The sequence below is a fragment of the Homo sapiens genome, chromosome 9 (assembly GCF_000001405.40).
Source record: "Homo sapiens chromosome 9, GRCh38.p14 Primary Assembly".
Lineage (NCBI taxonomy): Eukaryota > Metazoa > Chordata > Mammalia > Primates > Hominidae > Homo > Homo sapiens.
In genome coordinates, this window is record NC_000009.12 from 110,500,642 (window position 1) to 110,517,966 (window position 17,325).

A 17,325-nucleotide genomic window follows, 5' to 3' on the forward strand; every position below is an offset into this window, starting at 1 on the left:
AAACATACAGGAAACTTTATTTTGTTTTGTTTTTCACAAGGAGCTAGTCAATTTTCCCCTATGATCAGTTAAATAAATTTTTTTTCCCTCAACTGACCTGTGATACTTCCTTAATTGTAATCTGTATGGCAATCCTTGCATATTCTTAATCTTTGCAGATTAAAAAAGATTTGAAAACCTGATAGAGCTACTTTCTATTTACTATTCCTATTGCTCTTCCTTTTCAAACTGATTTTAGTGATTGTTCATTACAATATTTTTCTAGATGAACCCTAGAATCATTCCCTAATTCCAAAAGAAGGGCAAAAAAGAAAATCCCTTTTAAGCTATTGAATGAGTTTGCATTCAGTGTAGTACATATATATGTAATGCATATATATGTAATGTGTTAAGTTCTTTCCTTAGGTTAATTTGGAAAGAACTTAACATAAATATATGTACTATATATTAATATAATTAATATACATATATAAATTATAAAATAATACATATATAAATTATGTAGTAATATAATATATACAAATTAATATAAATAATTTATATATAAATACATAATTTGGAAAGAACTTAACATTTTGAAAACATTTTATATAAATATTAAAATGTTCTTTTCATCTCTCGGTAACATTTTTCTGGTTTGCTTAATACAGGTTCCACACGTTTCTATTTAAGGTTATTCTGACATATTTTATATTTTCCATAGATCTTTTGAATGTCATATTTTACCACATGTTCTGTTTATCATTGTATATAGAAAAGCTGTCTATTTTTCTTTATTTTTTCTAATGTCTGCTGGCAGATATATTTGCTATTTTAATGACTTTAATGAGCTCTCGTTGATTAGTAGATTCATTCTATTTTGTTGTGGGGGGGGCAGGCTTGTAGTCTACAAATGATGATGATTTTCAATCCCAATATCTCTAATCTCATAATTTCTTACAAGAGCTAAAGCTTAGAGAATAGTACTAAACAATGTGAGCATATTTTTCTTTTGCCAAATTTGATAAGACTGTCTATATTGTTTCTCCATAAGTGGCTGCAGATTTCAGATTGATATTTTTTATTGAGTTATATCAATATGAGTTTTAAAACATTTTACTGAAAATGTGTTTTAAATGATAATGAATGAATTTTTATCTTCTACTAAGCAACCATACAATTTTCTTCCAATTTGCTATAATGAAGTAATTTATTATATTGATAGATTACTTAATTTTAACTCCCTTTTGCAATCCTAGAATAAACTCTACTTGATTGGCAGATTATTTTCTTTTTTCAGTGTGGGTTGCTAGTATATTTGCTTTTACAGCTTTTACAGACCAACGTAATGTTGGTCTATAATTTTCTATCTTTTTTGGTAATAATTGTCAGGTTGACAATTAAATAATAATACCTCAAGAATATGAATTGGCTGGCTTTCCATTATTTAGGCCAAACTATATGGTATGGAAAGTTCTTAGAATTTTTTTTTTTTTTTTTTGGACAGAGTTTTGCACTGTCGCTGGGGCTAGAGTGCAGTGCTGTGATCTCGGCTCACTGAAACCTCTGCCTCCTGGGTTCAAGAGATTCTCCTGTCTCAGCCTCCTGAGTAGCTGGGATTACAGGCATCTGCCACCACACCTAGCTATTTTTTTAGTATTTTTAGTAGAGACAGCGTTTCACCATGTTAGCCAGGCTGGTCTGCAGCTCTGACCTCATGATTTGTTCACCTCAGCCTCCCAAAGTGCTGAGATTACAGGCGTGAGCCACCTTGCCCGGCCAGAAAAATTCTATTTTTGAATTTTTCTTACTTATATTTTAAATTCTATTTTATTACTTTATTTAAAGCTTTGCTTCTTAACCATTCTCCTGCATCCATTCTCCCTTTATAGTTCTTTTTCATTTACTTAAACAATTCTGGTTATATCCTTCTTTCAATTTGCCTTGCAGTTGTTTTATTTTCCTAACTTTTCAGTTGAATGTTCAGTTATTTTTATTTGTTCTTGTTTAATAATAAAGCAATTTTTAAGATTCACTGGTTCCTAATTTTGTCCTTCCATTAATAAGGTAAATGTAAAACATGTTTAACAAAGCAAGGGTATTATGAGGCATTTGCATTTTAAAAAAAAATCCATCCAAATTGGCCTCAATTAAAACTAAGAAAAAAGGCATGGTCATTTGAAGGTATAAACCTCTGTGAGTTAGAAAACAGAATTCATTGTAGAAGTTCCTTTACTAGTGGAGAGGAGTAAGACAACACATCTGTTTTTGTATCTGTAACACCTGCACCTGTACATGTGGATATGTATTTATACTCATTACCAGCTAGTGTTTAGTTTTAGGTCTTCACAGAATACTGGAGAAATCAGAGCAGAGGAAATGAATCACTCAAGGCATTACACCTTCTAGAAACTTACCCACACACCGGGGTTCTGGCCCATCCCACTGGCTGTTTCCTTGACAAGTAAGCTTATCACTGCCTTCTAGTCTGTACCCTTCATCACAGGCAACCAAACATGTTGTCTTATATAACATTTCCCTTGTAGAACAGCTGATGTGGCCATGTTTCGGCTGGCGGAGATGAGGACATGTTCTTACTATGTAAAATGAAAGCAATTAGATCACATTTTGCTAAATAAGGATAAAAATAATAATTACAAGTTTAGCAATGCCTGCACATTGCAAGCAAGACAATTTTCTTTTCTTAAAATAGCAAACGACACATAATACACCACCATTTTTTGAGTTCTTATGGGACAATTGAAAGTTCATGTTTTACCAAATGCATTGCCTAAATAATATCATCGCATGCAGCCCTCTGCCCATAGGTGGGAAACTTAACCTGTCTAAGAGGCCTGGCCCTACATGGAAGATGGTAACTGTAGATTAGAGGTGATCACAAAAGGGAGGTACCTGATGCTCTCAGCTGGGCCTTTCCTGTGATTTTTCAGGCTACATTACAACAAAAGGAAGTGGTATTTTCCAGGACAGAGTTTTCAGGTTCATGATCGACTTGGTTCTTAGACCTCATGGGCATATCCTAGGCCTTCTAATAGTGTTAGCCTCTGCAAAGCTACCCAACTTCTGCCATCTTCGGTTGTGGTATTCTACTGTCCAACCCCAGTTCTTGTTCTTCCAGCTTTTTCACTTCTCCTTCCCACAAATATTCCTGCCAATCATAGCTCATGATACGAATCTTGACTTATGCATTAACATCAGTTTATTTTTGCTGCTGTGGTAGAGGCTTATAGTTGCCCACCCAATAGCCATTCTCACCAGTTTTATTAAGCATAGTAATATGCCCAGCTAAAAGATTACAACTCTCCACCTCTACCTCAACTAATGAGAGCCCATAATATATAGCTGAGATTGAGCAGGACTTCTGGAAAGCTTTTTATTTTTTTATTTTATTTTATTTTATTTTATTTTATTTTGTTTTGTTTTTTGTTTTTGAGATGGAGTCTCACTCTGCTGCCCAGGCTGAAGTGCAGTGGCGTGATCTCAGCTTACTGCAAGCTCCACCTCCTGGGTTCACGCCATTCTCCTGCCTCAGCCTCCCGAGTAGCTGGGACTACAGGCGCCCTCTACCACGCCCGGCTATTTTTTTTTTTGAATTTTTTTATTAGAGATGGGGTTTAATTGTGTTAGCCAGGATGGTCTTGATCTCCTGACCTTGTGATCCGCCAGCCTCGGCCTCCCAAAGTGCTGGGATTACAGGCGTGAGCCACCGCACCCGCCCTTGGAAAGCTTTTTAAAGGGGGCTGTCTCAATTGAGAGAGTACTTCTTTCCCTTCCCTGCTTCCTTCTCCTTTTCTTCCACAATACAGACATGAGGAATGGTAGCCCAGCATACTAGAGTATAAGTATATGATACTGTGGGAACATATCATGCACCATGATGGTATAGCAAAAAACATAGGAAGTCTGGCTCTCTGATGACAGTGGAGCTATTACACCAACTTTGGATTACCTACTTCTGTCCTTGTTTTAGTTAAAAGAAAAATGAAGCCTTAATTGGCTTAACACATTGTTATTTGGGTCCCTGATACCAGCTATACACAATTTCTAATTCCTTCTGCCCAGCATTTGGGTCCTTGATACCAGCTATACACAATTTCTAATTCCTTCTGCCCAGCATTTGGGTCCTTGATACCAGCTATACACAATTTCTAATTCCATCTGCCCAGCATCCATTAACTCTTCCTTTGTTAATTTTTTAGGGAAAGATCTTCCCCCTTTCTTGGATCATGGGATGTGTGTGTGCTCCAAACGTGCTCGGGGTAGAGCATGTTATCTAGGAGCACATTTCCCCGGCCAGAGAAGTGAGCAGGCACAACTTGTGACATGGTTTTCTTCATCTTCTTTGAATTCACCATGAGAAAGCAGTAGGAAGGATATTCACTAAACTGCGGATGCTGAAAACGCCCCCGTACCTCAGCCAGCCTCAACATCACCATCAGAAAAAGTGCCACGAGTTATCCAGAGAAACCTGCATTTCCGCGGTTCTGCCACCTTTGAGTCTCTGTCCTCAACATTACATCAGAGAAGCTACCAGAGAGCACTCACACTGTTCCAGCCTCTGCAGGTTCCCCAACGATGTCTGTGTTCTGAGTTTTCCTGGTAAGAGTCTCCAACTGCCCACTCAAACCCAACAATGTATGTTAGAGTCCATTTCCATTGATTTCATCATGCCCTCTATTCCTGTTGATGGCAATCACTTAGAAAGTCCAAGGCTCTATAGTTATCCCTCATCCACCAGGGTTATCCACATGTAGCTGTGTTCCAAATCTATCCCCATAGACCCTTGGACCTGCCCCCTAGAATAACGATGGTTTCAGTTAATCCCCTCATATCCTAAACTTCCTTTTGAGCAACTTTTCCTTCACTTGATTGCCCTAATAAAAATTATATTGTCTTCTGTAACAGGGACTGGAGGTGAGGAGGTGTCTCTGTTGCTCCTGATTGTCTTCCCAGATCATTCTCTCTCCTTCCTTCCTAAAAACTTCCAGCTCCTTTGAAGTATCATATTATATATCCAATAACCTTTTTTAAATTCTCTCTCTCTCTCCTTTCTCTTTTTTCTCTCTCTCTTTCTCTCACACACACATATACCCACACCTTAGTGACTTCCTTATCTATGTAAATGATCATTCCAGTATCCTGGAGTTATATTCCTGATCTCTTATTTTCTTTTCTCTCTTTTTTTTTTTATTATACTTTTAAGTTCTGGGGTACAGGTGCAGAACATGCAGGTGTGTTACATAGGTATACACATGTTATGGTGGTTTGCTGTACCCATCAACCTGTCATCTACATTAAGTATTTCTCCTAATGTTATCCCTCCCCTAGTCCCCAACCCTCTGACAGGCTCCAGTGTGTGATGTTCCCCTCCCTGTGTCCATATATTCTCATTGTTTAACTCCCTCTTATGAGTGAGAACATGCAGTGTTTGGTTTTCTGTTCTTGTGTTAGTTTGCTGAGAATGATGGTTTCCAGCTTCATCCATGTCCCTGCAAAGGACATGAACTCATCCTTTTCTATGGCTGCATAGTATTTCATGGTGCATATGTGCCACAATTTCTGTATCCAGTCTATCATTAATGGGCATTTGGGTTGGTTCCAAGTCTTTGCTATCGTGAACCCTAGAAGAAAACCTAGGCAGTACCACTCAGGACATAGGCATGGGCAAAGACCTCATGACTAAAACACCAAAAGCAATGGCAACAAAAGCCAAAATTGACAAATGGGACCTAATTAAACTAAAGAGCTTCTGCACAGCAAAAGAAACTTTCATCAGAGTAAACAGGCAACCTACAGAATGATCTCTTCTTTTCTAATGATCATATCCTTCACCTTATCTCAGCTTCTACCATTGCCATGCCCTCTAGACCTCGCTGTCACCAATCCAAGTTTCCTAGTCTCTGACAATCACCTCTTACCTTCTGGGATCACTCCTTCAAGTGCTTCAATCCATCAGTTCCCACACCCTCCAGGAGCCTCTGATCTATCATCTTCCGTAGTCTCCTCTTTAGAGAAAACCCTCTTGAAAGAGTTTATAATCTTGTCCTACACTTCTTGTCCTCTAGTTCTAACTTAGACTCTCTCCAATCAGGGTTTCCAAGCAGGGGAAGGAGGGAGGAGCGTAAAGGAGAAAGGAAAAGTCGTGAAGAAGGGAGGGGAGAAGAAAGGAAAGAGAAAGGGAGGGGAAACATAGGTGGAGGAGATGAAGAGGAGAGGAGAGGAGAAGAGGAAGAGCAGGGTGAGGGGAAGGGGAAGTCAGAGCAGGAAAGGAGTAGGGGTAGGGGAAAGAATAAATAGGGAAAAGAAAGAGGAAGATGGGGAAGCTGTCAAGACCCATGGAAAATGCACTCTCAGTCAGAAGGCATGCACATTCCATTCACGAACAGAGATTGGAGAGGAAAAAAGAGTCGGTGCCTGTTAAATATGCCAAATGATGGGGACGTATATTCATCTTGATAGATTATAGATAGAACCTACAAGCATTGGACATCGTACAAAAGACAGAAATAACCCCTACAAAAGAATAAAGTTCAGTTTCCTCTCAGAGAGCTCTTATAACAATCTCTAAAGATTTTTGAACAAAACATTTGGGACTCAAGAATTTTGTTGAGACTCCGGGTGGGATATATTTTTTCTTCTTCTACTTTTCTGCATTTGCCAATTGTTCATACCATGCATACATTTAGTTACGTCAAAGACAACCTTAAAATACCAGGAAAGGAAGCTGGGGGCAAAATGTTCAAGTGCATATTCAATTGAAGTCACTGTTTGAATTTATTCTACAATGAACCCATTCAAATTATATTAATCAGCAGAGCATAAGTATTGTGTGCATTAAATAAAAGTTTAGGATCCATTACTCCTTAGAGAAAATGCAAGAGTTAGATTAGAGATTAGATCATAAACCCTAGCCTCTTTTATCCCTGGAATGGCTTGGACCAAAGTCAAGTATTAATAAAAAATGATCCGAAACATTTTGCCTTCCGTGTTTTAATTTTTCCTGAATGTGCCCATTTATGCAAATAGAATCTTTATTGTGTCTATCAAGTGCATGAAACATCTTGTCTTCTGCATTTTGACTTTTATTGAGTGTGTCCTTCATGTGTATCCCAAGGCAAAGTATGAGGTGGGATTAAAAGGTGAATCAGATAAATTCTGATGTATAAAATTTGGAAAACCATATTAAACAATGTTTTGGCTTCAACAAACTGCCAAGATGACTCCAGCTTTCCTAACCTGAGACAAAATGGATTTATTACTGATAATAAATTAGAGTCGGTGCCTCATATAGATGCAAATTATACTGCTTCTCAGATGTTGGTATTAATAAACTTCCATTGCTCCCCACTGAAAACAAAACATATGCAATAATTCCTATTTATTCCTTAAACATTTCACTCAAGAATGAACACTTAATACCATTTTAATAGGTACACACTTCTTAAAGAATTTTCAACTTATATTTTTTTCATTTCAACATGCCGAAAAATCCTGCAATTAATATTTCTTGACTTACATTTATGTTATCACAATTCCTAAATATTTATTTGGTCTTTTTAGAAAATAGCAACTTAGACTTTTAAGAGAAAAGTCTACTTGTAGTAGACAATATAAGAAGCTACTCTGGTTCCCATCTTAAAGACTAATCAGATTTTTTTTTTTCCAGGCACGTGCTTCCTATTAGTCTCCAAATTGTGATATCTATTACTGAAAATAAAATAAATCTGATGTTAAATGTAAGGTTCTCATTGGTTGAACCTTTTTACTCAGGTTTAGTTAGTTAAGATTGAGAAACCACAAAAGAATCCTTTCCTGTTTAGAAAGAAATGCAGAATTCTGGCCGGGTGCGGTGGCTCACGCCTGTAATCCCGGCACTTTGGGAGGCTGAGGCGGGTGGATCATGAGGTCAGGAGATTGAGACCATCCTGGCGAACATGGTGAAACCCCGTCTCTACTAAAAATACAAAAAATTAGCCGGGCATGGTGGCGGGTGCCTGTAGTCCCAGCTACTCGGGAGGCTGAGGCAGGAGAATGGCGTGAACCCAGGAGACGGAGCTTGCAGTGAGCCGAGATCGTGCCACTGCACTCCAGCCTAGGTAACAGAGCGAGACTCCATCTCAAAAAAAAAAAAAAAAAAAAAAAGAAAGAAAGAAATGCAGAATTCAGATAAAACTGAAAATGAGTATAAGTGCTTTATGAAAAGTGCATAGGAGAAGTGAGAATCAAGTTTACCAATTATTAGTCAACATCCACAAAAACATTAACAATGTAACATGATATTTGTAAAAGGCTTTAGATTTTATGCAGGTCTTTCATTTCTGCCTCAATCTTACACATATTTTTGAGAAAGTATAATATAACTAAAATTATTCACTGTTCTTATAATTAAATCTGTAAAAATATACTACTTTCTCCATACTACCCACCATGAAACAGACATGAAATCCTACCCAACGGCCATATTTCATTGAATCCCCATTGTAAGACACAACATTATTTTATGTGCCACTAACAAAGAAACAATAATGCCAATTAAAGGGTTTGCTGCAACTGATTTTAAGATGCATCTCCATTTTAGAGATGTTAAAATGTTTTAAAAAATGTGTTTCAGATTTAGTGAAATATGGCATGTGTTTCAGATTTAGTGAAATATGGTATGCGTTTCATAGAACAATATCTGATGTAACTAAATACACTGAGCATTAGTGAAAGTGTAAGGGCCTGGGTAAGTACCTTCATTCAGTACAACTTTGTATACTGGTAAGTTAGCTGTAGCTTTGGTGGTGAAGTTGAATTGTAGCATCTCTCCTTACTCTGCTTTAAATTATTTTATTTATATTGGAATTGCAATTGAAATTACATAAAAGAGAACAAGCATGCTTTTTTGTAGTCAAGGTCTCAATCTATCACCCACGCTGGAGTACAGTTGTGTGATGATGGCTCACTGCAGCCTCCAACTCCTGTGTTCAAGTGACCCTGCTGCCTCAGTCTCCTAAGTAGCTGGGATTACAAGCTTGTGCCATCACACCCATGCATGGTTTTTAATATGAAGTGACAGAAGCAGGTCATCAATGTATATACTGTAGTTATCAATGTACATCAACGTATACATTTATCGATATGTGTATTTGTTAACTTCAAGTTTCCATTCATTCACCAGAGATATCATCAATGATTGAGGGGCAGAAATAAATTCTGTGCTCATAATGAATTTGGTTTAGCAGAGGAGGTAGACAAGTTAATTACCAATAAAAGTGTGATGCTTTGTATTGTGACAAGTTAGTTACATTGGGAAATATGTTTGCCAGAATCCCTTTATTGTGGTTCCAAGTTAGGGTTGATCAAAAGAGGAACTTGCACTTGATTTTGGAAGGCAGAAGTGAGGAAGTGGTCATTGTCATCAGAGTCAGTGATAGAAAAATGCAGTGATGCCCAGGGGGTTCCAGCTTGCCCTTGCTTGCCTCCATTCCACGTCCTCACTGCTGATCCCATGACCAGTGGTGGCCCCATGTTCATTGCAAGGTTCTTGGCTGCAGAGCCACAGGGGCATAACTACACAGAGGTAAAGCTTCTCTTAGACCTTCCATGAGTTTCTCCTTAGCAATTCCACTTCAAAAGCTGGGTAGCCTCTCAAGTTGACTTGTCAAGAACTCCTCTGATCCTCCCACTCCTCTTCTGTTTCCAAGCTCCTTCTAAAATTGTGTAAGCTCTATTCCCTGAAATAAATCCTTCATCCCATAACATGCATGGTGACTGTGCTTCCTTGACTGACCCTGACACATAGCATAAGAAACATAATGAGGGGTGGGGGCAGGTCTGCAGATGCACAGATGCACGTGTAGAGGTCACCCCATTCAGGAGGAGGAAGTTGGCAACAGTGGAGGGTTGAGAGGACCCAGAGCAAAGGCAGAGCCAGGCTGTGGGAACAGCTTCAAAGGGCCGGCTTCCTGAGAGAGCATGGCTATTTCTTACAGCTTTAGGATCAGACGCGAGGCTTGATTATGGAGGGTGCAGGCTTGAGAGGCAGGGGCCAGACCTTATCCTGAAAGGGCAGTCTTCTCTGATTTTCTCACTCCTCTTTGGAAGGCTACTGAGTGGCAAGTTAAAATGTAATATTTCCCATCCTCTACCGTAAGGTATTTGGAAGAAGGGGTAAAGATTTTACACAGAACTTAGAACTATTGACTTCACGAAAATATATTTTACAAGCTTTCAAGGATTCATTTTTTCAGTAATGGTATGTGGCTTTTTACCACTTGAGGCTGCATGACTGAAAATGTCTTTCCTTTGCCTTCACACATGAACAGTAGCTTGCCTGAGTTTAGAAATCTAGGGTCTATTCTTTTCCCTCAGAATCCTGGCAACACAGTCTTATTTTCTAACATTGAGAATGGCCAACAAAGGGGCCTAAGGCTAATCTGATTCTTTCTCCTTGGTAGGTAGTGTTGTTTCTAACTATGAAATGGACACAGTTTTCTGTTTTTCTAGGGCATTCAGAAAATTCACTAAGATTATTTCCCGACATAAATCTGTTTTTAATATTTTTTTTGTGGCACTTACTAAGTGATTTTAAACTGAATATCCAAGATTTGGGTTGTGAGTATTTTCAAAATTTCAGCTCAGGGATATATCTTTAGATCTTCTACTGGTGCATCTCCTCCATTCTGTTCTCTCTCTGGATTCCTCACGTGAAAAGAGTCTATTTCCTGTGACTATTCTCATGTTACTTTATTCTTTCATATTTTTATTTTTGGATTTTTTTGATTGACCTTCAAATGAATTTCTTGAGTTAGTTTTCTAATTTATTAATTTGACTTCTAACTAGGTCCATTCATTGTGTCAGTACCTTTTTTTTTTTTTTTTTTTTTTTTTTTTTTTTTTTTTTACTTCTAATACATATTTTTCCTCTCAAATTTCTTTCATTGCTTGGAATCCTGGCCTTATTTTAGCAATGTAGTTGCCTTTGAATCTCAGTGATTCCATTTTTCTTTCTTTTCTGTCAGGTCTCTTTTGTTCAATCTGCTGATCGTTTTCAGTTTTCCTTGTCTTTTGGGGATACCATGTAGGCCAATTTACATTTATAGATGAGTTCAGTATTGGTACCTAATAAATTGGTACCAACATAGATGTCTCCTGGGATTCACAAATGATCTTGGAGTCATGAGTAGGTGGTTCTCCCTTATGGATATGGATGCCAAGAAAAGACCAGAAGACAGAACTAATCTTTAACCAGTGGTCCAGCTGATTTGTGGGGTTTTGGAGTAGTCAAATCCTCAGCAAAGTGTTCTGCCAAAAAATGACTAGTGGATGTGGTGGGAGTAAAGTTGCCAGATTTAGCAACAAACAAACCAATGAACCAGCACGCCCAGTTAAATTTAAATTTCAGAAAATCAACAAATAATTTTTTAGTATAAGGAGGTTCCAAATCTTGCAGGGGACCCACATATACTAAAATATTATTTATCAAAAATTCAAATTTAACTGGCATCCTGTGTTTCAACTGGCAACCGTAGGTAGGGAGCAGGTACTGTACTGAGAAGCTTTGTGGGCAGGGATTCTGATGGAGGTCCTCAAGTCCCTTTGCTCGCCCCCCTTTTACCTTTTCTTAAATATCCTCCTCTTCTAACCCTACTTGTAAAACCCTAGGAAGTTGGTTGTGTGACAGTTGTAAGAAGTAGGAAAGTAGGTCCTGGAGTTGGCAAGTTGAGGCAGATTGAGGCACTATTTTTTTTTTTTTATTGCTTCTCTGTATTTGACATGGGAGCCTCAGATTCCATTGGTGGTGCCCACTTTCTATTGGCCTGAATAGGCTCCTTGGACTCTCGCTTTGACAAATTCTCTACTTTCTATAACGGGTCGACTAGCCGAAGTAAAGGCTGGAGATTACAAGTTGGCTAACTGCTCTTGTTGCAGGATACTTGTGTGATTCCTTAAGTCCTACAATTCCAAGAGGCATCAGTCTCCACTCTGATTATTCTAAACTCTCCTTTATATCATGTCTTAGAGGCTTGAAATTTGAGGTTTGGGGTAACCTGTCCATTTACTTCCCAGGCAAACTTTTTCTTTGCTTGTTCATAAAAGGGCTATAAAAGGCGTAGTTTACAATTATGTGGTCAATTGAACTTGGTAATTCTGATTTCAAATTTCCTATAATTTTTCTCTTTCTGTAGTATGGGGTCTATGAAATCCAAAAAGAAATGAAGAACTGACTGGTTTACTAGAGTTTAAATCAAGGAAATCAGGCAAGACAGTAAATAAACAATGTAAATTGGCAGTTTGCATACCTCTGCAGTAGCTCTCTGAACCGGACCACAAACCATTGGGTAGACATAAGATGATGCTGCTTCCCACAAGATCAAATCCAGGGTGACATCGGACCCCACAGGCTGCATTGAAGTGGTTGTTGCAAGTGTTTTGGATAAAGTAACCATTTTCGGGAGGCTTCAGGGCAGGGCAGTGGACAACTAACATTTACAAAAATAAAATTGAAAAGCAAAGTTAGCCTTTTGTCTATGACATATCCTTTTTTTTTTTTCTTTCAAGGGGGCATTTATGCATATGTGTCAATTGCCTACAGCATTTCCATTTACCGCATTTGGATTTTCAAGTACATATTTGGAAGAAGAACCCTTATATCTGACTCCTATTAGGTACTAACTTCCAATTAAATTTTAAATACAAACTAAATATTATTTGTTAAGCTTTAAAAAATTTATTTTGATATCTATATGGATATGAGATTTTATAGTTCTTGACCTTTATATGTCATTAGATATTTTCCCTCTTGACTAAGGTAGAATAAAACAAAGAACAAATAAGGCTAGCAAAGTATATTTGCTACAAACCCCAAGAGCCACAGCTTCTTGCACATGGTATATGCTATTTAAATATTTGTAATTTTTGACATGAATAATACTGAGACCCTTTACTTATAAAAATATATTATTTCAAAGATAAATGTGACTATCTCCAGAGCCAAGATGAGCTCATTTTTATTCAAATTTGTTGTTAAAATTGTGGCTTTTCTTTTTTTGATTCATTTTAAATGTTTTCCAAGTACTAAGCCTTTCTGATTTCAAGGTGATGTTATTCCCAGCATCTCAGTTCCCCTTTCTCTGGAGCAGGATAGAGATATGTTCCGTGATAAGAATGTTATAAAAGCAAATCATCCCACTCCCCCAAAAAATATGATTAGAGAAAAGAACATTAAAGATCATTCTAAATGAATTAGGTGCAAACACAAGCACTATTTCTCTCAGAGAAATCAGCTTTTATATTTCCCATTTTCCAACAGTGGGAGACTCACGTTCACAGGTCTGGCCAGATGCCCTGTATCCCTCTCTGCAGACACAGTCTTCAGGGGATGTGCTTCCAGGTGGAGAGGTGTGATTTTCATCAGGACATGGAATGCAACTGCTGATTCCTCCTGGTGAGCCTTCAGGTTTGTATGTCCCCGATGGGCAAGCTGTGGGCAGACAAGCCGGAGAAGTCCATGTTATGTGGCACATCAGCTGGTAGTTAACAAAACATTTGAAATTAATATGGGAGAGAAAGCCAAACAATAGTTTTCCATAGAAATGGTGATGTAGGCTGGGTGTGGTGGCTCACGCCTGTAATCCCTGTACTTTGGGAAGCAGAGGCGGGTGGATCACCTGAGGTCAGGAGTTTGAGACCAGCCTGGCCAACATGATGAAACCCTGTCTCTACTAAAAATACAAAAAATTAGCTGGGTGTGGTGGCGTGTGCCTGTAATCCTAGCTAATCAGGAGGCCAAGGCAGGAGAATCGCTTGAACCTGGGAGCTGGAGGTTGCGGTGAGCTGAGATAGCACCACTGCACTCCAGCCTGGGCAACAAGAGCAAAACTCCATCTCAAAAAAAAAAAAAAAAGAAAGAAAGAAAAAGAAATCGTAATATAATTTAAGCAAAGAGAGAAACCAACATTTTTGTTTTCTAAAGAATGATGTAATTTGTTATTTGCAAGGTATGAAGTGGCCTCTTATGTCCCACAATTAGTTTCAAATACAACACAACACAGCATGAAATGTCTGGGCTGATTTGTGGGAAAATTCAAAATAGCAATTTATATTAAGTCACCAGGAGGAATCAATGATCCTCAATAGATAAAAAAAACTTTGATAAGTATGATGTCCCCTATAGCCCAACTCCCCCATCCTGTGCACCTCATCTCTAGCACTGAGCCCCAGCTCCTCTCTTAGCAAAGGAGAATAACTGCAGATACGCAAAAAGCACTTAGCCCATTGTTTCTGTTCACAGATCTTGAGAAAGGATGAGGAGAAAGTGAAGAGCTTGAGGGACATAATCCAACCGACAGGAACTAGGCCCTTTGAAGAAAAAAGAATTAAAGACACTGCTTTTCCCAGGCTCATGGAAAAAAAAGATTAAAAGCAGAATCTAATTGACCTTGCTTCAAATCTTTCCTCTGCACAGACAATGTAGCTTTGAATTTGTAACTTAATCCCTCTGGAGTTATGCATCTGTAAAATAATTTAAATTTCAGAAATTCAATAATAGAGCAATTGTGGAATCAAGAGACTTGCAATGCTCAGTTAAGCCAATTAAATGTGGCATAGTCCCAGGTTGCATTTCATTATTAAATAACAGTTGCAACCAAGCAATGTGCATTTATGTGGGGATTTTTTTTTTTTTTTTTTTTTTGAGACGGAGTCTCGCTCTGTCCCCCAGGCTGGAGTGCAGTGGTGCGGTCTCGGCTCACTGCAACCTCTGCCTCCCTGGTTCGTGCCATTCTCCTGCCTCAGCCTCCCAAGTAGCTGGGACTACAGGCACCCGCCACCACGCCTGGCTAATTTTTTGTATTTTTAGTAGAGACGGGGTTTCACCGTGTTAGCCAGGATGGTCTCAATCTCCTGACCTCATGATCCGCCCGCCTCAGCCTCCCAAAGTGCTGGGATTACAGGCGTGAGCCACCGCGCCCGGCCTATGTGGGGATATTTTACATAAATTATCTCATTTAATCCTCACAGTATTAATAAGCAGCATTACAAGATTAATACTATCAATATTTGCATTAATTTCATTAGTATTATTATATCCATTTTAAACATCAGAAAATGGAGGCTTAGAGAGATTCAATGACGACTATAGTTACTCAGTTAGTGGGTGACAGAGATAGAATTTTAAAGCAAATATTTATATACCATTCACTATGTCCTAGGGACTGTTCTATATATTTTATAAATATTAACTTGTTAACTTCCTAATACCTTATGAAGCACCTAATATTATTAATCCCATTTGCAGATGGGAAGACAAAGGCACTAAGAGTTTAAATAACTTGTCATAGTTACACAGTGAGTTAAGTGGCAGAGCTAGGATTTGAATCCAGACAATTCAGAACCAGAGTCCATGTTCTTTACCACTACACGTGCTGTGAGTCAAACCCAGGCCCCTTGGATGCTAAAGCTAAATCATTATAATATACTAAATCATTATAATATACTAAATCATTATAATATACTAAAACTAAAATATAATATACTAAAACTAAATCATATAATAAACTAAAACTAAAATATAAAATAAAAATATAATATACTAAAACATTATAATAAACTAAAACTAAAACATTACAATATACTAAAAAAATCATATTGAAAGGTGGGATTCATAATATGTCATTATTTGAAAAGCCATGCTTCTAAAATTCTTGACTTTGTTTAAAAACAAAAGATACCATTTTCTCATGATATATAGTAGCAAATTCCAGATCTGGAGAGATTTGTGACTATGAATGAAGGAAACACTTAAAAATAGTAATAATGATATAAGACATGATAAATAATTTAGCATAAAGGAAACACTACTTTGAAGCACTGTATTAGCGATATTGAACTACTGAATTATTTATATTACTGAATATTAATATTGTAATATTTCTTTCTATAAAATATCAGTAAATATCTGATCAGGATCCTCAAAGAGATAAAGGACAACGTGGTTTCCTTTAAACAGGAGTCAGCAGCTGTAGAAGAAAATGATCAAGATAAATAGAGAGATAGAAAAGAAAGTTTAAAATGTAAATGAAAAATTAGAATTGTCATTGGGCCAGTAAAAAGAAGCCATATAACTCCAGAACAAGAGAATTGAGTAGAAGTAATGGTTGTGATATTAGTGCAAAGATACATTAATGCAAAGATATGAGAAGTAATGGTTATGATATTAATGCAGAGATATATTCCTAACCTGGAGCTTTAGTGCAAAAGTACTCATTAAGTTCCAGGAAAAATTAACAAAAGTCACATCCAGGATGAAAGAAAAATATTGCAAGCTTATAGGAAAGGAAATTAAGATACTCATAAAGGGGAAAATCAGATTGATATTTCATTTTTTCTTTGCAAAAACAAATGCCAGGAAAAAACTGAATAAGATACATAGCTTTGTGAAAAAAATTATGAACCCCAAGTTTTATTATGTGGGCAAGCTATTGGTAAGTAGGTGGGAAGAGAAAGACATTCGAGGATGTGCATAGCTTAGAAAACAAAGCCATTTTATTTTATGTCCAGGCATGGTGGCTCACGGCTGTAATTCTAGCACTTTGGGAGGCTGAGGCAGGAGGATTACCTGAGCCCAAGAGTTTCAATACCAGCCTGGGCAACATAGCTACACCCATCTCTTAAAAATATTTTTAAAATTAGGCTGGGCATGGGTGGCTCATGCCTATAATCCCAGCAATTTGGGAGGTCGAGGTGGGTGGATCACCTGAGGTCAGGAGTTCAAGACTGCCCTGGCCAACATGGTGAAACCCCATCTCTATTAAAAATACAAAAGTTAGCTGGACATGGTGGCAGTTGTCTGTAATCCCAGCTACTTGGGAGGCTGAGGCAGGAGAATCACTTGAACTCGGGAAGCGGAGGTTGCAGTGAGCCAAGATCACACCACTGAACTCCAGCCTGGGTGGCTGAGCAAGACGCTATCTCAAAAAAAAAAAAAAAAATGTAAAAAATTAGGTGAGCATGGTGGTGCTTGACTGTAGCCTCAGCTGCTTGGGAGGCTAAGGCGCTGCAATGAGCTACAATTGCACCACTGCAATCCAGCCTGGGGCCTGGATGATAGACCAAGAACCTGGCTCTTAAAAAAAAAAAAAAAAAAAAAAAAAGCCATACTTCATTTACTGAGAAAGAAATTAAAAAAAGATTTCAAGAACGAGAAAAAAAGGTACTTAATTAATAGTTTGAGATTAGAAAACCTGTGGAACATATAGTAAATTGCTAACTAAAATAATTGTGGAAATGAAAACAAATACTAAAGAAAGTCTAAGAAAGCAAAAGATTCTATTTGGCTTATAA

At 37.7% G+C, this 17,325-nt stretch overlaps 1 protein-coding gene across 1 annotated transcript in view; it reads right to left on the minus strand.

The window, feature by feature from the left end:
* Positions 1 to 17,325, minus strand: part of SVEP1 (sushi, von Willebrand factor type A, EGF and pentraxin domain containing 1) — a 214,494-nt gene that overhangs the window by 135,394 nt on the left and 61,775 nt on the right. Inside the window, exons 4-6 of the mRNA NM_153366.4 lie at positions 13,307 to 13,465; positions 12,285 to 12,464; positions 2,397 to 2,576 (exon numbers count right to left, since the gene is read on the minus strand). Of these exons, the coding sequence (NP_699197.3) occupies positions 2,397 to 2,576; positions 12,285 to 12,464; positions 13,307 to 13,465 (519 nt within the window). The remainder of the gene's footprint in view (positions 1 to 2,396; positions 2,577 to 12,284; positions 12,465 to 13,306; positions 13,466 to 17,325) is intronic.